Genomic DNA, 25,668 nt, shown 5'->3' with positions numbered 1-25,668 from the left:
AATAGCTTGGGTAAGAGAGTTTCTAAGATATCAGGAGTTACCAGTGGACTCCTCCCCCAAAAGAATGTGTGAGGACAAGAGCCAGCATCACATCAGTGAGAGCTGGCCCAGTATAAATGACCACCATGCTTGATTGCTGCTACTACTCTTTTGGACCCAGAAGGACAACTCCCCATCACTTTGGGCTGAAGGACATGTCTCTAGGATAAAATGAACGAACAAGCAGCTCACAGGTTACCCAGCACCAAGCTTATTTGATACAGGAGCACGGGCTGTGGACCAAGCCTACTGGATGGATACGCAGTGAGGAGAGAGGGAAGCAGTGAGGGGGGTCGGTGGCTCACAAACAACGTGTATTGGGATAGGCGGGGGAAAGAGTATTCCTGACTTACAGACTGGGGTAGGGGGTGGGGAAAGGAGCAAACAAAGCAAGTGGCTTCATCAACATCCCAGAGGGAAAGGCAGGCTTTGGAAAAGAACCAAGTGTTTGGAAGTTGACGAGGAGGGTCCACAGCCAGGGACCGCGCAGTAGAGACGACAGAGGAACGCGACCTTTTTTTCTAAGTGCATCTGAACTTGCCTTTACTTCGGGGCTCCCAGTCCCCATCCTCTGGGTCAACCTAGCAGATCTTCTTGAAGGCTGACACCCTTCACATACCTGTAGGTAGTTCTCCTCCCCACCCTGACCCCTGACCCCTAGTTCCAGTGGGACTGTCCTCCACTGTAGTCATACAAGGAGTCTGCCTCATCTGCCCCTGTGCCTCAGCCACAGCCCACTGTGAATCACTCGGCTCCAAATTAAAACTCCTTCCCTCTCCGGAGTGGTCTTTTCTTCCTTCTGCCATCTACTGGTGAAAACAAGAATGTCTTATTTTCTTACCTGCCTGTTGCCAATTTGAAAATAGCTTGGAACCTGAAAGTTCATTTGCATAGTACTTACTTGTTGTGTGGAACATACTGCATGAGTAATATGGAATTACACATATATACATACACACACACACACACATAACAAACAGTGTATTTAGTGTAAAGGGCAGAGGCTTGGAATCCAATTTGGCTTCAAATTTTTACTTAGCCCTTTACCAGCTGTATGATCTGGGTACGCTGCCAGTCTTCATCTATGCTAAAAGCCACAATTAATGATCATTATAATGACTAACACTTACTGATTGTTATCATGAGCCACAGTATAGTTCATTTAACTTCACAATGCTGTACTATAACTGTGTGTCTTCAGATAAGAAGGTTGAAACACAGGAAGGTTTAACAACTTGTCCAAAGTCTCACAGTTAGTCAGGGGCCGATTTGGCAAACTGGCTCCATAGCTCATATTGGGAACAATAATATCGACTGTTCGGGATTGTTCAAAGAACTAGAAATAATACAGGTCAAGCCGCCTGACACATCTTAGGTTTCAGAAAATGACAGATATTGAACATTTACTGCGTATGGGCCCTGTATGATATTAGTAATATCCACAAATTAGGCGCGGTCCCTGCCTAGTAGGAAGCACAATCACTATACAATACTAAGGCTAAGTTCAGCAAAAATAGCATCTGACTCTTTTTTCAGTATTGGTTTCCTAGTATCTGGCACACTGGCTAGGATATGGTGGACACTGGAAGGGAAGGAGGAAAGAAACAGAATTTTAAAAACTAGGTTCGAGATTCTGTGAGGCAGGCCAGGTGTGGTGGCTCACACCTGTAATCCTAGAACTTTGGGAGGCCGAGGCAGATGGATCACCTGAGGTCGGGAGTTCGAGACCAGCCTGACAAACATGGCACCCTGCCTCTATTAAAAATACAAAAATTAGCCCGGCATGGTGGCACATGCCTGTAATTCCAGCTACTTGGGAGGCTGAGGTGGGAGAATTGCTTGAATCTGGGAGGTGGAGGTTGCAGTGAGCCAAGATTGCACCATTGCACTTCAGCCTGGGTGACAGAGACTCCATCTCAAAAAAAAAAAAAAAAAAGATTCTGTGACAGAGATAGGCTTGACGGTCTTCTTTCCATATTAACAAATGAGAAAACTCAAGGTTCAGAGAGGTTTAGTAACTCCCACAAGGTCACACAGCAACAGTGAACAGTCCGATGACTTACACTTTCCCCACCTGTTCCTTTCCCAATTCCTCCTGCTCCTTCCGGCCTCTTTGACGGCACTGGCAGATGATTGAAGGGTGACAGTGACAGGAGACATCCTTTGTGTTTGGATGGTATAAGGGGATGGATGGCTACGAGCAAACAAAAGCTCCAAGACTCTGAGCAGACCTTGGGGCCCACCTCCTAGAGACTGCATGGTTCCAGAGGAGCCCATTTTCTTCCTGTCTCCTTTCCACTTGGCACCAATCAGCTCTTCACTTCAGGTGAGACTGTTCAGTGCTATTTCCCAGACTTCAAGTTTCTGCAGTTATTTTTAGCGGTAGTTTTAGTGCATACCTGGGATAGGTGAGGCATGAAAAGGAATGCGGGTGTGGGTAACCCTTCAATCTCTAGAGTTATGGTCTGAGTCTCTTGTCATTCCAGCTAAAGAGGGGTGACTCACACCCTGATTTCTTACCTGCCCAGAGGCTAGATTTCACCCTAAGAACCATGTGGATTAGAATGTCTTGTATATTCTCTTAGTTTTAAGGACACAGTTTCTTGATGTTGCTTTGTTACCCACTTTTGATAACTTGGATCCTTTCATTTTCTGTAACCAACACCACAGCCTGTGGTTCTTTCTGGTCCTATTTCCCAGGGTTTTGAGGGACCCAAGGTAGATAAAGTCTCCAATTTAGGTTTGTGGATGCCTCTGCAGGCAGAAAGCTACTTGGAAAACACTCTGTCTGTAAGCAAGATGTCCTTAAAGAGCCAGCCAAGTTCTGGGATATTCATTGCATTTTTTGAGAGACTGAGAAAGAATAATCATGATCTAGTTGGTCTAGGCCCCTCTTAGCAACTACAATCCCCTCAGAGTGCCCTCAGAGAACCTGCTTCATGGTTCCCTGGAATTCTGGGCCTGCTTTAAGCCTGAAATAGCCTATCCAACTGAAACCCTCTCACTAGGATCCTAGGACCCCTTCATAAGATAGAGAGGTGTTTTCCTCATTCTCACCCTCACTCAGCTCTGTACAGAGGAAGTAAAACTAGGCTAGCCAGTACCATGAAGCCATTGTTACTGCAACTGCATACAATGAATACTATATAAATCAGTTTTATAATTCAGATGAGAAATAAGAAGACATTTTCTCTGGGCTGATATCATATGACTATTCCAAGATACTCCCTTTATTAAGTCATAAAAGTTAGATGTATCTGTTTACAATTAGGGTGGGAGAAGATTGTTTTGAAGCTCACAGTTTCTTTTTTTTTTTTTTTGAGATGGAGTCTCGCTCTGTCGCCCACGCTGGAGTGCAGTGGTGCGATCTCGGCTTACCGCAAGCTCTGCCTTCCGGGTTCACGCCATTCTCCTGCCTCAGCCTCCCCAGCAGCTGGGACTACAGGCGCCCGCCAACACGCCTGGCTAATTTTTTTGTATTTTTAGTAGAGACAGGGTTTCACCGTGTTAGCCAGGATGGTCTCAATCTCCTGACCTTGTGATCCGCCCGCCTCGGCCTCCCAAAGTGCTGGGATTAGAGGCGTGAGCCACCGCGCCCGGCCGGCGAAGCTCACAGTTTCTTAAATCAGGAATGCAGAACTAAGGAGTTGTACCAAGAAGGGAATAGCAGAGGGGTCAGGGACCTCGTTCCCCACTCCTAATCTAGAGCTTTTGGTATCTTGACTGCAAAGGCAATTTACATGTATTTAAGAGAATGACATTTTAACGTTCTTCTATACTCCTATTAATACCTAACCAAATACTTCTGAAGACCCATCTCCTGTCTTCTCCACACTTTGTAACTAGTTCTCCCCACCATTTTATTCCGTAATTGCAACCTTAAACCCCGCAGAATGTAGCAGAGTCCACAAAGATGCCTTGTACTGGGCTGAATAGTATCCCACGAAAAGTCATGTCTACCCATGTATTAATCTGTTTTCATGCTGCTGATAAAGACATACCTGAGACTGGGTAATTTACAAAGAAAAAGAGGTTTAATGGATTCACAGTTCCACGTGGCTGGGGAGGCCTCACAATCATGGTGTAAGGTGAAAGGCACGTCTTACACGGTGGCAGGGAAGAGAGAATGAGAGCCAAGCAAAAGGGGAAACCCCTTATAAAACCATCAGATCTTGTGAGACTAATTCACTACCATGAGAACAGTATGGGGGAAACCGCCTCCAGGATTCAATTACCTCCCACCGGGTCCCTCCCACAACACGTGGGAATTCTGAGAGTACAATTCAAGATGAGATTGGGGTGGGGACACAGCCAAACCATATCAACCCAGAACCTCAGGTGACCTTATTTGGAAATAGGATCCTCGCAGATGTAATTAGTTAAGATGAGGCCAGGGTGGATTAGGGTGCACCCTAAATCCAACAACTAGTATCCTTCTAAGAAGGCCTTGTGAAGACACAAAGATATATGGGGCAGAAGGCCATGTGTGGATGGAGACAGGGATCGGAGTCATGTTGCTACAGCCAAGAAACACCAAGGACTGCAGGCAACCAAGGGGCAATGCTGGCTAAGAAGCCAGGAAGGACTCTTCTCTAAAGGTGTCAGAGAGAACATGGCCCTGCCCACACCTTAATTTTGAACATCTTAAAATCCAGGACCATGAGAGAATAAAGTTGTTATTGAAAGTCACCCAGTTCCTGGTACTTTGTTTCAGTAGTCCTAGGACATTAAAACGTACTTCTGTAAGGGTATCAGCAGCACGACCTATCTCACCTTAGAGGACAGGAGAGCACAGGAATGACTGACTAATAGAGCAAACCTACATGTCTTGTTTTTACTTACTGGTGGATCACGTTCATTTCTGCGCCTCCTGCCTTTTGCAATGGCATCTGTGCATTTTCTGCTGGGGACTCCATGCTCTGGACCTGTTAATATACCTGAAGACACACCCGTCCACATTTCTTTCACTAGTGTCCTTTCTTCCCATCCTAGCAAAGCATAATTATGCATATACATTAGAGATGGCAGTTAAGCTTTCGAGTAGTGGTTTTTAACCTTTTTAGTCTCCCCAAAAATATGCATATTCCTCAGTGGTCCACAAACCCAGGCCAGAGACCACTGCCTATTTGGAAAGTTCAGACATCCTTGAGGATGATTCCAATCTCTCCTTCTTACCCCCTACTGGTACACCAATTCCATTTCAGCTTGCTTCTGAAGTCCTCCACTGAGCTGAAACAGCATCCATGGGCTGACTCGAAGAGAGCTGCTATCCTAAGCCACCCTGGAGAGTCCCATCGAGAAAACACAATGTTAATGGAGAATTAGCCCCAAGTGGGAGGCACAACTCATAACAAATAGGAACAGGTACGGCCCTGCTCAACCATTTGCCTCCCGATTCTGGTACCCCTTTCTCCTTTCCTTTCCCTTGTATCTCCTACCTCCTCTAAATTATCCTTCACACAAAGGTACCATAATAAGCAGCAATGAAATTCAGAGCAAACAAAACAAAAAGTAAGTTATGCACTGTATTTCAATTCATTGCTAATGCCTTGCCCACAGGTGCCCATTTTAAAATGCATCTGTGGTAGAAAACCCCCCGCCCCGATATTTGCAAAGATCTTCCTGCAGTGAACAGTCCACCCCGGACCATCACAGAGAATTTTATTGCCTTGTACTCTTTTTTTTTCGAGACGGAGTCTCTCTCTGTCGCCCAGGCTGGAGTGCAGTGGCGCGATCTCGGCTCACTGCAAGCTCCGCCTCCCGGGTTCACGCCATTCTCCTGCCTCAGCCTCCCGAGTAGCTGGGGCTACAGGCGCCCGCCACCACTCCCGGCTAATTTTTTGTATTTTTAGTAGACAGGGTTTCACCGTTTTAGCCAGGATGGTCTCGATCTAACCTCGTGATCTGCCCTCCTCAGCCTCCCAAAGAGCTGGGATTACAGGCGTCAGCCACCACGCCCGGCCTGCCTCCTACTCTTTACTCCTCACCAGATACTCTGACTTAGATGGATAAGGAAAGTTTCTTTTCAGCCAAACTTCATTCCAATCTTAATCCATCAAAGTGATTATTTAGACGCTCTTTACCTTGGTTCTGCCACTCCAGACACACTCTTCTAATAAAACTGTTATAGACAACAAAAAGTATTAGGCATCTTCTATGTGTAAACATCCTCAGAACATGAGACTGTTTGTGATTGGGAATTTCCAAGTTGTTTCTGAATTTCAGTAACCCTCCCCCAACAACCAGCCCCTAGAGTGCCAATGCCTACCTCCTCCCCTGGAGCTGAGGCCCCAGCTCTACATCTCCTGCATCGCCTAATAGATGAGGACAAAAAAGATGAGTGGCCAGTGGGCACTAATGACAAGTGGATGAAATTAGGTCTCAGAATTATACATTTCTGAGGCATATTGATTTTATTCTTGTCACCTGGGGAAAAGAATCTACATAAGAGGCAGAGTGGCCGGGTGCAGCAGCGTACACCTGTAATCCCAGCACTTTGGGAGGCCGAGACAGGTGGATCACCTGAGCTTGGGAGTTCAAGACCATCCTGGCCAACATGATGAAACCCTGTCTCTACTAAAAATACAAAAATTAGCTGGGCATGGTGGTGCGTGCCTGTAATCCCAGCTACTTGGGAGGTTGAGGCAGGAGAATCGTTTGAACCAGGGAGTTGGAGGTTGCAGCGAGCTGAGGTCGCACCACTGCACTCCAGCCTGGCAACAGAGCAAGACTCTGTCTCAAAAAAAAGAGGCCAGGTACAGTGGCTTACACCTGTAATCCCAACACTTTGGGAGGCTGAGGTGGATGGATCTCTTGAGCTCAGGAGTTCAAGGCCAGTCTGGGTAACATGTCAAAACCCCATCTCTACAAAAATACAAAAATTAGCTGGGCATGATGGTGAGTGCCTGTAATCCCAGCTACTCGGGAGGCTGAGGCAGGAGAATCGCTTGAACCAGGGAGTCAGAGGTTGCAGTGAGCCAAGACTGTGCCACTGCACTCCAGCCTGGCAACAGAGCAAGACTCCATCTCAAAAAAAAAAAAAAAAAAAAAAAAAAAGAGGCCGGGTGCAGTGGCTCACACCTGTAATCCCAACACTTTGGGAGGCCGAGGCAGATGGATCTCTTGAGCTCAGGAGTTCAAGGCCAGTCTGGGTAACAAGCCAAGATCCCATCTCTACAAAAAATATAAAAATTAGCCAGGCGTGATGGCATGTGCCTGTAGTCCCAGCTACTCAGGAGGCTGAGGTGGGAGATCACTTGAGCCTGGAAGGTCAAGGCTGCACTGAGCTGAGGTCATACCACCGCACTCCACCCTGGATGACAGAGCAAGATTATCTCAAAAAAAAAAAAAAAAGAGTCTATGTGAGAAACCAGTCTTCCTAACCACCTGCTTAATTGAGGGAATGAAGGAAGTAAATCTATTTAGGGATTTTAAAGACCTCTGCTGTCTTACTGATAGACTTTGCTCCATCTGCAAGAAAAACACAACCTCCTTTTTTAAGTAGAACTTCTCTTTTTTTTTGAGACAGAGTCTCGCTGTTGCCCAGGCTGGAGTGTGCAATGGCGCGATCTAGGTTCACTGCAAGCTCTGCCTCCCGGGTTCACACCATTCCCCTGCCTCAGCCTCCCGAGTAGCTGGGACTACAGGCGCCCGCCACCACGCCAGGCTAATGTTTTTTTTGTGTGTGTATTTTTAGTAGAGACAGGGTTTCACGGTGTTACCAAGGATGGTCTCAATCTCCTGACCTCCTGATCTGCCCATCTTGGCCTCCCAAAGTGCTGGGATTACAGGCGTGAGCCACCACACCCGGCTGGGGCTTCCCTTTCAAAGCCATCCATCATCTCGTTTCCTTGTTGATTTTTTTAAGTAATAAATATTTATCTTAATTAGGACAACCAATGAATTTGCCATGTAATCAACACTGTCAGGTTCTTACCTATTAACAAGATCTTACTTAAATCTATAAGGCCCTTTAACACCAAGGTCTTTAAGGAGTTAGAATCTTTTAAAAATAATATTTAAATTTATTGTTTCACATTAGTTTGAATAAAGCACAAGCCAAGATGGTTTAAATATCATTTGCAGATGTCCAAGCTTCTTTACAATTACAGGTCATGGGCATCATCAACCTAGTCCTTGACTTGCAGCTAAAAAAGGCAAAAGGTCTGTGTGAAGTGACAGAAGAGCACACCCTACTCATGTCATGAGCAAGGAATCAAAGTCGAAGAACAGTAACAGTCTTGACATCAGCACTGTAAGAATTACTCTGCAGTAAACTCCAACCCAGAATGGGGAAGAATACTGAATTAGCTGAGCACATTCTGGACACAATTCTGACCAATTTCAGTCTCATGATCTCTGTTGGAGCAGGTTTCATTCTCCAATTCTCTTTTACAGAACAGCAGAACTCGAGCCTTCATAAAAGTGATTAACGGCCTTTCCGCTTCTTCATTTTTCCTCCAGCCACCTTGTTCCTGACACCAATAGCACCCTCTGTGTCATCATTATCTCCAGCATCCTCTCGCGAGCGTTTCTTCTTTTCTCCATGCTCCCTTAACTCCTGCAAGAAAAAAAGAGAGGATGGGATTGAAAATGAATTACTGGCACTGAAGGTTACTCATTCTAGTCCCCTCTCCTTAAGATCAAGTATCAAGTAACTTGCTGATGCCTGACATTAGCAAAGGAACAAGACCCAACTCCAAATATACAAAGATGTTAACCTTATTAGTAATCAAAACGTGAACACTAAAGTAAGGTTTTATTTTCACATGGCAGATTGGCAAAGACTTAAGAGAAGGGTAATCCCCAGTATTGGCCAAGGTGTAGAAAAATTCACATATACTCTCATTTATAGTGCAATCTGCTATAGCTTTTCTTGGGGCGGGGGACAATTTGGCATTCTGTATGAATTCAAATTTTAACTGTGTATGTCCCTTGGCCCAACAAGTGTACTTCTAGGAATTTATTCTAAGGAAGTAAATATGCAAAGCTGTACAAAGTAGGGTGTTTAACACTGTACCAAAGTAGAAAGAAACTGGAAAAAAGCGTAAGCATCCATGAATGTAAGTATTTCATACACATGATGGAATTCTTTGTAGCCATTAAGAAACGATCACATGAATCTGTATTTGTTGAAACAGAAAAATGTTAATCCTATATAATTAGATAAAGTCTAATTATGGCTAAAGAAAGAAAAATAGCCAAATGTTATCAATGGTTTTCTGTGGGGAATGGTTTACCTTTTCACTTACTACTTTAATCCTTTCTGTATTTTTTGAATTTTTTTCCCAATGCACATGTAATACTTTTACAAACAAAAAAATCCCATGTGGACAGAATAAAAACCAAATGTGCACCTCAGCTACTCCAAAAACAAACTATGGGCAAAGTTTCTCCATCCCTCAGACCAGAACTCCAGAAAGCAGGCAGCACTTCCAATGGTTTTCCTCTAGAATCTTCTCATCACCACTATTACTGTTACTACTACTTACAGGGTGAGTATCCCTTATCTGAAATGCTTGGGACCAGCAGTGTTTCGGACTTCAGATTTTTTCTAATTCTAGAATATTTGCAGATACATATGAGCTATCTTGGGGATGGGGCTCAACTCTAAACACAAAATTCACTTGTTTCATATATACCTTATATATGAAGGTAATTTTACACAATATTTTTAATTGTCTGAAGGTAATTTTACATCATATTTTTAATATTTTTGTGCATTAAAAACATTTTGACTGTGTCTTGATAGCAACCTGTCACACGAGGTCAGGCATGGAATTTTCCACTTGCGGCAATCCTTTTCGCACTCAAAAAATTTTGGATTGCTGGGCACAATGGCTCAAGCCTGTAATCCCAGCACTTTGGGAGGCCGAGGCGGGGGGATTACCTGAGGTCAGAAGTTCGCCTGACCAAAATGGAGAAACCCCATCTCTACTAAAAATACAAAATTAGCTGGGCATGGTGGCACATGCCTGTAATCGGGAGGCTGAGGCAGGAGAATCGCTTGAACCCGGGAGGCGGAGGTTGTGGTGAGCCGAGATTGCACCATTCGCTCCAGCCTGGGCAACAAGAGCAAAACTCCATCTCAAAAAAAAAAAAAAAAAGAAAAAAGAAAAGTTTTGGATCTTGGTTTTGGATTTCAAATTTTTGGATTAGGTATGATCAACCCCTACTAGTAACTATGTAGTTTATATTGGCTTCTCTGGTGCTCATAAAACCCCATAAGGTATTCAGGCAAGTGTTATTCCCAATTTACAGGTGAGAAACTGATTCTGATTCTGAGAAATCAGGCAAATTTCCCAAGCTCACACAGTTCACAGCTGGATCTTCTGACCTCAAGTCTGATGAACTATCTCACCACGTGCGACACATGAACAGGTGCTGTGAATGTGTGAATGTCAGAATGAGGCCAAACCTTGATTCAACCATTTGGTTGTATGGTCTAATGCAAATTACCTACCATCTCTGCACCTTAGTTTGCTCGTCTTAAATTTGGAATAAAATAATACCCAGCTTCTGCAGTTTAGTATGAGGGTTAATATAATAAAGTGGCACACAGTTAACATTGTTTGCACAGACACTGGTGAGAAAAGAAAGATGCATACCATTCGGGCAAACCTTTGGGCTTCAGCGACGCGTTCTGTCAGCATCATAACCTCATCATCCTGTGTTGGAAAACCTGGTAGTTTCTTCCCAATTAAGTGTTCTATGCGCTGGAAGAGTTCCACATCATACCTGAGGAAGGAAAACTGCACAGCTCTGGTTGCCTGGTAACGCAAATGCCTGTCCATTCCCAAACTATTATTATATGATACAACGCAATAGGAACCATAGGTTTAAACAATATTGAACATATTATTTCTTTTCTAAATATGGGTTAAGTGCAATCTCTGTGCATAGCCCATTAGAAAATCACTCAAGGGAGGCCAGGCATGGTGGCTTGCACCTGTAATCCCAACGCTTTGGGAGGTCAAAGCAGGAGAATCACTTGAGACCAGGAGTTCCAGACCAGCCTGGACAACACAGTGAGATGCCATCTCTATAAAAAATTAAAAATTAGCCAACCGTGGTGGCATGTGCCTGTAATCCCAGCCATTCAGGAGACTGAGGTATGAGGACTACTTGAGCCCAGGAGTTTGAAGCTGCAGTGAGCTATGATCAAGTCACTGCACTCCAGCCTGGTCAACAGAGTGAAACCTTGCTGCTTAAAAAAAGAAAAAGAAACAAAAATCGGCCAGGCAGGTGGCTTGTGCCTGTAATCCCAGCACTATGAGAGGCTAAGGCAGGTGGATCGCTTGAGCTCAGGAGTTCAAGACCAGCCTGGCCAACATGACAAAACCCTATCTCTACTAAAAATATTTTTTAAAAAGCCAGGTGTGCTGGCATGCACCTGTGGTCCCAGCTACTTGGGAAGCTATGGTGAGGTAGGAGGATTGCTTGAGCCCAGGGGGTGGAAGGTGCACTTAGCCAAGACTGCACCACTGCACTCCAGCCTAGGCGACAGAGCGAGACAAATACAAAAAAAAAAAGGAAAGGAGGGAGGGAGAAAATCCCTCAAGGTATTTATTCACAGAACAGCCTTGGGTACATAAAAATTTGTTTCTTTAAAAAAAACAATTGGAAATAGTTATTCTAATACTTTCTGAGTTGACACAAAGGCAATTGCTCTCCAGCTCTAGGTACCATTCTACATGCCAAATACTATACTAGATCTTTTACATATATAATCTCCAATTTTCACCAAAACCCTGCTAGATAGGTATTATTATTCCCATCTTTCAACTCCTTCATCCTGGTTTTCAGTATGAAAGTGATTAGTGTAGTAAATGGTAGTGTCAGGTTCTCAGCCAGTGGCTTGAAAGTTCTGCTCTTTTCTCTACATTGCTCGGCCCTAAAGCTGATTTACTTACTGTGTGACAAAAGTAATAGCCTTTCCGGAGCGCCCAGCTCTAGCTGTTCGACCTACTCGATGGATGTAATCCTAAAACAAAAAGGGTAAATAAATTCAAGTTATATGGATTATAAGTTTAAAAAAAACTACATATGCAAAGTCCTGCTGCAAAACCTTTGAAAGAAAATAGATTCATTTCGTAACATGGAGAAAATAAATGGCCGGGGCAATTTGTTGAGACAAATCTACTTCATCTTTTTTGTTCTCCTTGCAGCACAAAATTGATCCAATGCTTTCCCTTCTTTCACAGACAGATAAATCTACAAAGCATATCTACATGGTCGCAGGCTGCATGGTATTTTAAAAAACAGCACTGGATCTCGAGGCAGAGCTGGATTACAGCTCTGATCCTTCCCATCTGCCAGTTACACAATTACCTGCAAATCACATAACCTCTCTGAACCTTGGTTTCTATCTAGTGAACAGGAATAGAAATACATGCCCATATTACAGAGTTGTTATGAAAATCAAATGAGACAGCATCTTGTCTACAGCAGTTAAATACAAAGACAAGAGACACAACAGTTCTCATCCAGGGGTGATTCTGCCATCCTCAAGGGACACTGGTAATGTCTGGAAATATTTCTGATTATCACAGGTGGAAGACTGTGTGATGCTGTTATCTACTGGGTAAAGGCCAGGAATGCTACTAGGAATCCTTCAACTCAAAGAACAACCCCCACAACAAGGAATTCGAAAGCTTAAAATGTTAATAGTGCCAAGGCTGAGAAACCTTGAGATACACTAAGCACTACAAGCTGTAGGCCGGGCACGGTGGCTCACGCCTGTAATCCCAGCACTTTGGGAGGCCGAGGTGGGCAGATCACGAGGTCAGGAGATCAAGACCGTCCTGACTAACACGGTGAAACCCCATCTCTACTAAAAATACTAGCCGGGCGTGGTGGTGGGCGCCTGTAGTCCCAGCTACTCGGGAGGCTGAGGCAGGAGAATGGCGTGAACCCAGGAGGCAGAGCATGCAGTGAGCCAAGATTGCGCCACTGCACTCCAGACTGGGTGCAGACTCCACCTCAGAAAACTCAGAGCGAGACTCCGCCTCAAAAAAACTACAAGCTGTCATTCTCAAGAAATGACAGTGACAAGATCAGTATGTGGCGCACCAGCCCCTTCTATGAGCATCTAATAACTCTCCTTGGCTACCTCTTTCATATGTACTAATGTTACATACACAGGCCTGTGCAAGATGATGTGAATGAACTAACCAAGGGCTTTCTTGTTTTTTGATACTTAATTAACCAGGAACAAAATAACTGCTGTAACTAAGGAAAGACAGAAGACAGTCCATTAAGAAATACACTTTAGGACTAGAAAGGTAAGTTAGCAATAGGACTCACCTTGGAATGGGTAGGAATGTCAAAGTTGACAACCACATCTACATGAGGTATGTCCAAACCTCGGCTGGCAACGTCAGTTGCTAGAAGAATGGAACGGGCCTTGGCCTTAAACTTATTAAGGGATCCTAGGCGCTTACTCTGAGGTAATGAAAAAGAAATGTTGGAAAACTTAACCTATGTTTTGGAATACAAAACACAAAATAGACAAACACGAGAACAAACAGACATAAATTTTTTAAAGGTTTTTCCCCCTAAGTTTTGAATGGGGCTTCACAGGTCAAAACAGAAATATGGAAGCAACAAAAAATTAAAAAAATATATATGATACAAAATAAGGGTAGTTTGACACGATAGAAAGGTAACTGGGAAATAATTTATTAATGTTTTTAGAGGCCAGAGTCATTATTACCACTAGGGCTGAATAAATCAACTCAACAGCTTGCAAACCAGACAGGTACATATGAAATATTCTAATGGGAGCCTCTCGCTACCCTGAAAGGAGAAAGTAAGTATCTAGAGCAACACTTCAAAGCCCATAAAATTACAACAATTATGGAAACAGGCATCGGTGCCCTATGGCCTTATTGTACAAACCTACTGTTAGGAGGTTTATCTCGCTCACGCCACCAGTGCATGGCTGATGATGATGATGAATCCTTACCTGACTCATTTGTCCATGGAGGGGGATGGCAGTGAAGCCAAGATTTCGCAGTAGCAAAGCTGTTCTCTGGGTATTATTACAGGTGCTGCAGAATATCATAAAGGAGTTTCCAGCCAATTCATTTAGAATATAAACCAGGTAGGTATCCTAAGTTACAAACCCAAAACAATATATGTCATTGAACCTGGGAGACAGGATTGGAGACCTGGCATATACATAAGGTAAAGACTAAGCCTATAGTCGCTTTTCAATTATCCAGACCTCCAGCTGCCAGCTTTGCATTCCTTAACCAGCATTATCATCTCTGTGAACCACATATTCCCCACTTAGCCTTAAGGCAGGCAGGAGATCTGTACTCAGCAAACAGGAGAAGTCCTTATATCAAAGCACAAAACCAGGGGCTTCATCCTAAATAAAAGCCACATAATAAGCAGACAAAGGAAAAATTACCTCAAGGATGGGGATGGGAAGGAATTATATGATTACATCATGACCTCAGTATTGTGATTTAATGTGTTGTGAATTCCTGGCATGTCTGGCTTATCGGTGATAATATAAGCACGATATGCACTCTAAAGCAAACAGACAGGATGCCAATCTGCATTACAGCTCTTACCTAATCAAGAGTTGACACATTTTCAGATGCTTTGGTGAAAAGAAGAGGGAGAGGCAGGAATGATCAAAGTAAACATTTTACCTTGAATTTAGAGGGAATAAAAATATAATATTGCTGTAATTTTTCAACTGTCTGGTATTTAGAGGAAACGGCACATTTCACAGGATTCTTCAGAGCTGCTCGCTGAAGTTTTTGAACCTGAAGGAAGAAGATCCAGAATAGCACACTGATGCCTAAACACTCTTTATTTATGACATGGTTTGGCTCTGTGTCCTCACCCAAATCTCATGTTGAATTGTAATCCCCACATGTCACGGGAGGGACCTGGTGGGAGGTTATTGGATCACAGAGGTGGTTTTCCCCATTGCGGTTCTCATGATAGTGAGTTCTCACAATTTCTCATGGTTTTAAAGTGTGGCACTGCCCCCACCTCCTGCCTTGCTTCCCCTTCACCTTCTGCCATAATTGTAAGTTTCCTGAGGTCTTCCCAGCCATGTGGAACTGTGAGTCAATTAAACCTCTTTTCTGTATAAATTACCTAGTCTCAGATAGTTCTTTATAGCAGTGTGAAAACGGACTAAAGCAATTTATTTTTCCTTATTGTTATTACTATTTACTTTATGTATCAATTCTCATAAAGAAGAAACAAAAGTCCTAGCAAATTTCACCTTCTTGGTCATGGTGGCAGAGAAGAGGAATGTTTTCCGATCTCGAGGAATCACTTTGAGGATCTTGTCAACCTAAAGCACAAAGAGGAAAAGATGCCAATATGATATTCAGACTGGAAGAGCTGCAAATCCTCTAGGTAGTGAAGGAGGTAGACACTAACAAACTAAATATATCACTGTGAAGATTTGGGACTCGAAAATTCAATTTGATTCAGCTAAAGTTTACTGAATATTTACTATCTGATACCCTACCAAATACTATTAAAAAAAATACCTTTCTGAGAAAAGAACAGTTTAAATTAGTAGACCAGAGCTGATTTAAGAGAAAAGTCAAGAAAAAGTATTAATCAACTAAGTAAGCTGGGATTAGTGGGTCATCAAAGAAAATAAAGATATTTCAGGGTGTATGTCAAGGTCTAAATTAAACGAAAGGGAAAAGAAAATCCGGTTTTGATATTTCCCATTTCTGAAGTCAGAGTCAGACTATATTCTAAAGATAAAAGGGTGCTGAGAAACTGCAATTTGAAGAATATCAAGAATGAAACTGATACTAATGCAATGTTCTACATGAAACAAGTGGGCAATGAACCAAATTTTGAAACAGGAACCTTGAGATGCTCTAAGAGGAGGAAAGAAATTGAGAGCTCACCTCTGTCTCAAAATCCATATTCAGTATTCGGTCGGCTTCATCCATGACCAAGTATTTGAGAGCTCTCAAGTTGAAACCTTTCGTATTTTCCAAGTGGTCAATCAGTCGACCAGGAGTTGCTACCAAGAAAGGTTGAGGAGAAACAGTGACATTTCAGAACAGGACAAAAAAAAAACAAAACAAATAAACAAATAAAGTTATCTGCCCCACCCCACAGCTCTCCACCAAATTTAACTTAAGAAATTAAAAAATTTAACAGGGTTACAAAATCTGTTTCTCAAAGTCTTTCTATCCAACACTGGTAGATTTTCTCCAATTCATCACTGCCAGTGTCTTTTACCTTTGTCAGTTACTCACCTATTATTATATGTGGTTTTTTTGCAAGGGCCAAAGATTGAGACATTGAATCAATTCCACCTACAATCACAGCTACAGAGAAAAAAAGAACATAGAGACGAGATCCTTAATTTTTTCCACAGTCCACTGAACATCTTTTAAAGCCAATGCCAGATTTCTACTTAGATTTGTTCTTCCCTTACAATTAATACTCTTCCCAAAGCTCAAATACAACATTAGCTCTTTAGGTCAATAAATTATGCTAGCAATACTTTCCTCCATTCTCCTTCCTCCACACTCATTCTTCACTTGTGATGGCAACCTAGGATCCCTTCCCTCTCAGACACTTACCACTCTGCACTCCAATAGAGGACCCCAGGGCTTCAAACTGCTCTGAGATCTGAAAGGCCAGCTCCCGAGTCGGGGTAAGAACTAGGGCAAACAAACGCTGCGGGGTCTCCAGCAGTGCGTTTAGAATGGGCAAAGCAAAGGCGCCTGTCTTTCCAGAGCCAGTTTCTGCAAGCCCAATGATATCACGACCTAAAAGAAAAAGAAATTCAACAGCCAAGTAATCTCTTTGCGCTATTTCTGTGTTTTCTACAATGACACAATGCTGGGCACAAAGTAGACGCTTAATAAATATCTGATGAACTGGGGAGAGAGGAAAGTTGAATAAACAGAAAAGACATGGCCTCTCTCTTAGATAAGCTCAAAACCCAGTGGTGAGACAGACAAATATACAAATGCATTATAATGTGATAAGAGTTTTAATATAAGCCCCTGCAAAATACAGCGAGAACACAAGGAAAAGTAACTACTGCCCAGAAGAGTCAGAAAAGGCTAACAGAGGTGATAAGTGAGTTAAAACTGGAAGTAAGCAAAGAAGGGAAGAAAGGATATTCCTGTAAGAGGAAAGAGAATTAAGGCTTTAGAGAACATAGCATGCTGGCTGGGCATGGTAGCTCACGCCTGTAACCCCAGCAGTTTGGGAGGCCGAGCCAGGCAGATCACCTGAGGTTGGGAGTTCGAGACCAGTCTGACCAACAAGGAAAAACCCTGTCTCTACTAAAAATACAAAATTAGGCGGGCATGGTGGTGCATGCCTGTAATCCCAGCTACTCGGAAGGCTGAGGCAGGAGTATTGCTTGAACCCGGGAGGCGGAGGTTGCGGCAGCGGTGAGCGGAGATCGTGCCACTGCACTCCAGCCTGGGCAACAAGAGCGAAACTCCATCTCAAAAAATAAAAAGAACATAGCATGCATAGTTAGGCTGAGAAGTACAATGTGGCTGGAACACAGAAGTGTTAAGGGAGAAAGAGGGAAGAATGAGGCTAGAGTTTTGATGTTTTCCTATAAGAAAGAATTAAAGGATTTTAAACAGGGAATATCATGATCAATATTACTGTTTAGGAAGATAAACTCTAGACCTGATGGCATAAGGAGGAGCCAAGGAACTTAACAGTGCATGCCAGTTACTGCTCCTTCTGAGGGAAGAATGCTCTAAGTAATTCTTTAAGAACAGGTCACCACTGTTTGCTATCACCACTCAAGCCACAACTCATAAGACTTGGAAATTAACTCCTGAGTTGAGATCACTATCTCCGAGCTGGCTGTAGCCCATGAGGTAGCTATGCACTACCACAGTGGCCAGTGAGAATGCTCCCTATTAAATCATGACCCCTACAGTTGCTGCCCCTGTTCTGACTGTGTAACTGCTGAGAAGTTTTCTTTACCTAGAAGATAATCCTACAATAAACAAATCTCTTTTCCCTGACATAACCTGAACATGACTTACAATCAGAAATGACTTAAATGACCAGAACAGGGAAAACAAAGGCTTAACTGGGACATTGGATGTAATTCAGGGGAGATATGATGGTGGCCTGAACTGAGGCCAGGAATGAGCACAGGAATGAGATTCAGAAACTAACAAAAGGAAATGTGGGTGACTCACACATTTTTAGTACGGGACACTCAAAAGCCAAAAACTGCAATATAGGCAACAGAAAAATTAGTCCTGGTGAGGAAAATAAGGACTTTGGTTTCCACACAGGGAACTTGGAACTTAAGATTCCTATAGTAAACTCAAAGAGATATGTCTAAAAACCAGTTGGACATACTTGTTTAGAGATATGTCTAAAAACCAGTTGGGCATAATTATTTGGAGGTATGTCTAAAAACCAGCTGGACATACTTGTTTGGAGCTCAGGAAAAAAGTGGGGGTTAGAACAGACATGGGAGCCATGAGTATCCTACCACTGGTACTTCCTCAGGGGCAGATGCTTCAGAATAATCGATGAGACTTACATATATATATATGCCCGGTCCCATGCCTGGAAATTCTGATTCAGTAGGTCTTGGCTGGGACCTAGAAATCTCTATTTAAAAAAAAAAAAAAAGCTCCATAGATGATTCTGAAGAATACAGACTCACTGATGCAGACAGGGTTTAAGCTTGAGGACTGAATGAGAAATGTTATGTAGTATTTCAGAGTAAGAAAAAAGGGTAAAGACAGAATCAATATTGTAAGGCAAAGGGAAAAGAACCAGAAGAAGAGACTGAGAAAGAACAGCTAGAAAGACAGAAGAAAATGCTGTCTTGAAATTAAGGAGGAAGGCAGCTTCAAGAAAGAAGAGTGATCAGTGGCGTTCAATGTCACTGATCAAGTAGAACAGACCTGTAAGATCCACCTCTTAAACATTAATCAGTTAAACCAGGATCTGCCATGCCAGATCAGACAACAGTGTGATATGGTTTGGCTGTGTCCCCACCCAATCTCATCTTGAGTCGTACTCCCATAATTTCCACATGTTGTGGGAAGGACCCAGTGGGAGATAATTTGAATCATGGAGGTGGTTTCCCCAATACTGTTCTCATGGTAGTGAATAAATCTCATGAGATCTGATGGTTTTATCAGGGGTTTCTGCTTTTGCATGTCTCTCATTTTCTCTTGCCGCCACCACGTAATAAGTGCCTTTCGCCTCCTGCCATGATTCTGGGGCCTCCACAGCCACACACAGAACTGTAAGTCCAATTAAACCTCTTTTTCTTCCCAGTCTCGGGTGTGTCTGTATCAGCAGTGTGAAAAAGGACTAACATACAGTGTATCCTAGTGAATTCTATTCTTTAGCCTTCTTTTCATTAACATCAGTGTTTTCCATTCAAAAGCATATGCACAGATGTGAAATACAAGTCAAACCAGACAATGGGACTGATTTTTTTTTTTTTTAGACAGAGTCTTGCTCTGTCACCCAGGCTGGGGTGCAGTGGCGAGATCTCGGCTCACTGCAAGCTCCGCCTCCTGGGTTCATGCCATTCCCCTGCCTCAGCCTCCCGAGTAGCTGGGACTACAGGTGCCCGTCACCACGCCCTGCTAATTTTTTGTATTTTTAGTAGAGACGGGGTTTCACCGTGTTAGCTGGGATGGTCTCGATCTCCTGACCTCGTGATCCACCCGCCTCGGCCTCCCAAAATGCTAGGATTACAGGCGTGAGCCACCACGCCCAGCCAATGGACTGATTTTTTTAAAGATTACAGACAAATGACAATCCAGGGATAAAATGTCTCACTCATCTACTTATTTTAATGTTCCCAGTGGCAGGGTAGGTAACAATGAATTGCAACAGCATCTACCTATCTGAGAAATAAAGGTCAGTGCAAGCAAATGATTCCCAAAGCTTTTTATTCCTCAACTCCTTGGGGATACTGCCGTCCCAGCCTGTGTAACACAATACACCTTCGGGAACAGCAGGCGGGGGAACTAGGATTTGTCCTTTTTTTGTCAAGGGAAATCTTAACATTTCAGAAGAAAGGAGTACATAAGAAAGATTTAGGGAAGTAAAGGAGCTGAAGTCGCTTAGTTCATGAAGCAATAAGCACTGCTCACTGCCTACAGCTGAGGCCTGCACTGCTTTCAGTTTTTTAGTAAGTCCCTCACAGCAACCCTCAGTTTGTGAAACTGATATATTTTTCTACGTCATCTCCTTTCTTCATCTCTGAAGAAACCGCTAAGCCTTTTCAGTGTTTATACCTGTAGAGAATATACCAGAATGCATAAACTCCATAAGAGCAGAATAGATTTTGTCATATAGACCTGCCACATTGCTGGCACCGAACATAAGCGCTTGCTATATGGCAGCCACTAATAAATTGTTTGAAATTCCTTGAGGACAACTTTAAGTGATCTCTGAAACAGACATAAATAGATGGTGTCTCAATGTGTTACCCAGGCAGGTCTCAAACTCCTGGTCTCAAGCAATCCTCCCACCTCAGCCTCCCAAAGTCCTCGGATTACAAGCATGAACCACCATGCCCATCAAACAACTTTTGATCTCTTGATAGTAACAAACTTTGATGCAGGTCCATTAATAGAGGTTTTTTGAGCTATAAGATTCTATGTTCAAATTCAGGCTCTAGCAATAATTAGTTAGGTGACCTTAGCCAAAGGACTTAACTCCCTGAGTCTCAATTTCCTCACTAATAAAATAATTATCCGTAACTACCATTCAGCATTGTTATAAGGTTTAAGAACAGCGGACAATCTGGGCTCAGTAACTTTGCAGAAACTGAAAACGTCAGTAGTCCCAAATTCAAATTTAGAAGTTATTTTCACCGAATAACAACAGCAACAAAAACAAACAGATTATTTGAATCATTTCTATAGATTCAAATGAAGCATTTATAAACTATTCATTAGAATGAGACAAACCCAAGAATAAGGATAAAGACATTTCTATGGTGATCATTTCTGTCAGTTCCTAGTAATCTTCCACTGACCCCTCCCTATTCTTTTCTGCATCAAATTTAAACTTATGGCTGAAAACATCAGAATAATTTTAGGATTACTGCCAGCTATTTTGACTCCTTCTCACCTACACTGTAGGGCAAGCTGGAAAAGTTAAAATGCATGAACGCTTCTTGCTATTTAAAAGTAACACTGGGCCGCTGATAGTTCTTTCCCACCACTGGCCTTTATACGGTCCTTATCCTCCAAACTTCTCTGCACAAGTTTGAAGTGTTTACTAATCCCTCCTTGAAACAGTTTCCCTTCCCTAATTTGTGTGAAACTATACTCTCATGATTTTCAACCCTCTATTGAATCTTCCAATTTTCCTCTGTCATCTTTGCCAATCTAATCCATTTCCAATCTCAGCTATAACCGCTCTTTGGATACAGTGTGTATATCCAGCTCTGGCCTCTCAATCAAGTTCCAATCCCAGGATTCCAACTGGGTATTTTTTTCCTTTTTTATTGTCCCCCAGTTTTGTTAATTGACAAAAAATTATACTTATGGTATACAATGCAAAGTTTAGATACATGTATACTTTGTGAAGTGATTAAATCAAGCTCATTAACATATCTGTCACCTCACATACTTGTCATTTTTGTGGGGAGACCATTTAAGATCCACTCTCCTAGCAATTTTCAAATACACAAAACATTATTCACTGTAGTCACCATGCTATTCAATAGATCTTCAGAACTTATCCATCCTGGCTAACTGAAACCGTACCCTGAGCAACATTTCCCCATTCCCCTCCCACAAGGTCAACTCTATCTCATTGATATCCAAAATCAATTACTTCCAACTGAACTCATCTTTCCTGCATTTTTCCCCCGTTCCTTTTTTGTATCAGTGGTACACCAATAATATGCCCTAAACATACAGCCTAGAAACTTAGATTTTCCCCACCCCTTCCTTGCCTTCCACTTGCTTAACTGGTTGTAAAATCATAATGATTCTTTTTCCAACATTTTCTTTTTCATTCTACCACCACCCTACCCATTATTGATTGCAAAAATCATTACAAAGACCTACTAATTGGTTTCCCAGACTCAGTCTCTTGTTTCTAATGATCTTTCACAGCTATGAGATTAATCTTCCAAGAGTACAACTCTAAATCCTTCATCTCCAAAAATGCCCCACTGCCTATGAAACGAAGACCAAATTCCTTGACCCAGCACTCAAATCCTTCATAATCCGGCCCCAATCACCTTACTAAACTTTTTCACCACTCTGCTAAGTACTTGCAAATCTCCATACATGCCCATGTTTTCCAGTTGGCTTTTTTTCATGCTGTTCCCTATGCCTAGAAAGTCCTCCCCTCCCATCATATCTGAATGTCTAAATCCTTCTAAAGTCAGTGTTCAAGGTTCAGCTCACATGTCTTCCCAACCTCCCCAGCCAAAAATAAAATGAAATAAATCTTCTCTAATCCATCCTAATTAGAAGTAATCTCTTCTCCCTCAGTGCACTCTGAATGTAACTTTCTTAGGTCCCTGTTCAACTTGTAATAAATTTATAATTATCTCTTTAATAGATTATAGACTCTTGGAGAGGACAGACTGTTAACCTCCAGTGCCTTACATTTACAACAAATAGTAACTATTTATGGAAAGAGCAAATGGAATTTTGTAGAGTAAGTCTAACCCCTTTTCCACATGACAGCTCTTCAAATCATTAAATCTTTCAATTATTATCAATAATAATCACTACATTAATTACTAATGAGTAATAATTATAGCTTACATTAATCACTAATAATATAGTAATACAGTAATAGCTACATTAATACTAACAATAATTAGCCACATTACCCCTCTTATAACAATTGCTATGATTACATTCACTCTCTCTGAGGATCTTAATAGATTTCAGTTAACTAAGACCTCTGGGCCTCTTTTATCACCCACCCTAATCCTGTAAAGTTGGTACTTTAGGAATCTAAGAGCAGGACTTTACTTCTACTCCTATTAAAGTTCATCCTGTTACAGCCAGATGTGGTGGCTCACACCTGTAATCCCAGCACTTTGGGAGGCCAAGGCAGGTAGATCACTTGAGGTCAGGAGTTCGAGACCAGCCTGGCCAACATGCTGAAACCCCATCTCTACTAAAAATACAAAATTAGCCGGACATGGTGATGCGCCTGTAATCCATTACTTGGGAGGCTGAGGCGGGAGAGTTGCTTGAACCTGGAAGGCAGAGGTTGCAGTGAGCCAAGACCGCACCACTGCACTCCAGCCTGGGCGACAGAGCGAAACTCTATCTCAAAAAAAACTCCATCTTAAAAAAAAGATCTCAAAAAGAAAAAAGTTCATCCCATTAGTTTCAGTTCCAGTAGCCATCAATCTGCTTTAACCACTGTTTTACAAATCTGATAAACATGGCTCACAGCAAGAATTCTCAACTCCTCAAGACACACATATGTGTTCCAGGCATCCTTCCCTAAGTGTGCGCCCACTGATGCATAAAGTCTACCAAGATTGTCGTTAATATACTTTAACTTTAACCTAGGGCTTCCTTAAAGTCAGCATCTGTGGCAGAGAACAAACCCTTTCAGCTATTAAGACAGAAAGTAAGCTCAGTAAAATTGGAGAATGACATTTTCAAATACCATTACCCAAACTTTGTACCTTTAGTGACCATATCCTTATTTCACTTGAAGTATGCAAGCAACAGCTTTCAAAAGGGGTATCTAATTGAGATAACTTTATATTAAATCTGTACGAAGTCATACAACCTACCTTGTAAGGCCAAAGGAATAGCTTCAATCTGGATCTTGGTGGGTTTTGTCCATCCCAACTGGTCACAAGCTTCACACAACACATCTGTCACACCCTTGGAATTCAGAAAAATATACCTTAGCCAAGAACAGCACACCCCTACCTCCCTCCTACTTAACTGACTGTCAGACCCATCATGTACAACCATTGTATTTGATTTAAAAGGTATTTACTGTGCATCTCAGAGCCTACTCTTTAACTATACCATGAGACAGTAGCTCAAGACTTAACGAACACTTTCTGCTCACCAAGGCCAAGGCCAGGTGCTTTACATGTATCATCTCATTTAATCGTCACAACAATTCTGCGAGGTAAGTACTTATTACTATCCCCAATTTACAGATGTGGAAAGAGAAACACAGAGAGGTAACAACTTGTCCTCAGTAAGAGACTGTGTCAAAATTCAAATCTGGTTGGTTCATCTGACTCCAAAGCTCCAGTTATAAAGAGACCAATTCCATTCCCCATATGTACAACCTCCTGGATGCACATACAAACGTTGCCACACTAAAGTGGCGAATAGGGCAAATAGGGGGTCTCAGGGCCCAGCAGCCCTCCCACCACCCAAACTCAGAGCACGTCCGAAACCCAGCCCTCTGAAATTCTGGGGAAAACCCAAGCTAGGCCCCAAGATGCTTTTGTACACTATCAGAGCGGGATCTAAGGTACCTGGGGTCTCCCTGAGCCTAGCACCAGAGTACATAAAAGAAGCCAGCGTCATCCATTCTCACCAGGTCTTTAAATGTTTTAGTTTCCTCCTCTTCCACAATCGGCTGGGACGCTTCGGTCGGAGAATCGTGTTCCTCGGGTGCCGCCATCTTGTGTGAGGTCTCCGGAAGTGGGTCTGCGGCGCGCGGGATGCTGGGAAATGTAGTTTTAGTTCTCCCCGGACGACGTGCTCTGCGCGCCCCCTGCGGGCTTGCCGGGGATTGCACCCGTCCGCTAGGCAGGTGGGGCCCAGTGAATATGGGCGCGTAGGCTTGCGGAATAGATCCGAGTGCAGAAGGGGCTGATCACCAGGGACTCCAGTTGACCTTTAGGTCCCTTTTAAAGAGCCTTCCCTACGTGTGTCGCCAGTTATGTTCCCCGCTTTTCTAACCATAGAGTTTGGAACGGATTGATATTACAATACTATTTTTTTATTATGTCATTACTTTATTCAATAATGTTGAGAACCTACCATTTGCTAAGGCTATGCTAGATGGCTGGTGAATAGGACAGCGACCCCTGCCCTCGTGAAGAAAAAGAAGACAGATCATAAATAAGCTATCACAGAGCATTTCAAATTGTGAAAAGTAGCTGGGTGTGCTCACGCCTGTAACCCCAGCACTGTGGGAGGACGAGGCGGGCGGATCACTTGAGCCCAGGAGTTCGAGACCAGCCTGGGCAACGTGGCGAAACCCTGTGTCTGCAAAATGCAAAAATCAGTCAGGCATGCATGGTGGCATGCGCCTGTAATCCCAGCTATTCAGGGGGCTGAGGTTGAGGGATCAGTTGACCCCGGAAGTTGAGGCTGCAGTGAGTGGAGATGGTGCTACTGTACTCCAGCCTGGGCAACAGAGTGAAACCCTGTTCACATAAAAATTACAGAGTAACCTGGGGAGGGTGGGTTGTGGGGATAACTGTGAGATTGGGAAGGCCTCTCTGAGACAGTGATATTTGAGTTAAGACCTCACTGTTGAGCAGGAGAAAACGCTTTAAGATCCCAGGAGATAATCATTCCAGAGTGAGAGAATTCCAAGTACCAAGACTGTGAAGCTACTAAGGCTATTCTGGAAAGCAGCAAATTCAGAGCTGTATGTTGCATGCCCCATGGCCAGCGAGTGCCCTCC

At 42.9% G+C, this 25,668-nt stretch overlaps 1 protein-coding gene across 2 annotated transcripts, besides 3 other annotated features; it reads right to left on the bottom strand.

Annotated features, from left to right (window-relative positions):
* Window positions 1,936-3,135: an enhancer, noted in NCBI's record as "MED14-independent group 3 enhancer chr12:12987821-12989020 (GRCh37/hg19 assembly coordinates)". NCBI's record gives its function as "activates an origin of replication core promoter dependent on BRD2, BRD4, P300/CBP and CDK7 cofactors, and independent of MED14, by STARR-seq in HCT116 cells {active_cell/tissue: HCT116}" and the evidence as "EXISTENCE:reporter gene assay evidence [ECO:0000049][PMID:35650434]".
* On the bottom strand, window positions 8,041-24,676 carry DDX47 (DEAD-box helicase 47). 2 transcript variants are annotated; one of them, NM_016355.4, is made up of 12 exons: window positions 24,568-24,676; window positions 23,798-23,891; window positions 16,626-16,814; window positions 16,296-16,367; window positions 15,939-16,057; window positions 15,290-15,361; window positions 14,703-14,819; window positions 14,006-14,152; window positions 13,345-13,482; window positions 11,952-12,022; window positions 10,647-10,776; window positions 8,041-8,599 (listed from the first exon to the last, which is right to left on the bottom strand). In NM_016355.4, exons 1-12 carry the CDS (start codon window positions 24,652-24,654, stop codon window positions 8,468-8,470), a joined length of 1,368 nt encoding a protein of 455 aa, NP_057439.2. In that variant the 5' UTR covers window positions 24,655-24,676; the 3' UTR covers window positions 8,041-8,467. The 2 variants fall into 2 exon arrangements, with proteins under 2 accessions (NP_057439.2, NP_957518.1); NM_201224.2 differs by lacking the exon at window positions 14,006-14,152.
* Window positions 13,928-15,127: an enhancer, noted in NCBI's record as "BRD4-independent group 4 enhancer chr12:12975829-12977028 (GRCh37/hg19 assembly coordinates)". NCBI's record gives its function as "activates an origin of replication core promoter dependent on BRD2, P300/CBP, MED14 and CDK7 cofactors, and independent of BRD4, by STARR-seq in HCT116 cells {active_cell/tissue: HCT116}" and the evidence as "EXISTENCE:reporter gene assay evidence [ECO:0000049][PMID:35650434]".
* Window positions 24,540-24,849: an enhancer, noted in NCBI's record as "active region_6031". NCBI's record gives its function as "activates an Ori minimal core promoter by ATAC-STARR-seq in GM12878 lymphoblastoid cells {active_cell/tissue: GM12878}" and the evidence as "EXISTENCE:reporter gene assay evidence [ECO:0000049][PMID:35858748]".

The sequence above is a fragment of the Homo sapiens genome, chromosome 12, assembly GCF_000001405.40.
Source record: "Homo sapiens chromosome 12, GRCh38.p14 Primary Assembly".
NCBI classification, from domain to species: Eukaryota; Metazoa; Chordata; class Mammalia; order Primates; family Hominidae; genus Homo; species Homo sapiens.
Note: the sequence above shows the minus strand (reverse complement) of the source record. Positions and strands in the feature narration are given on the sequence as shown.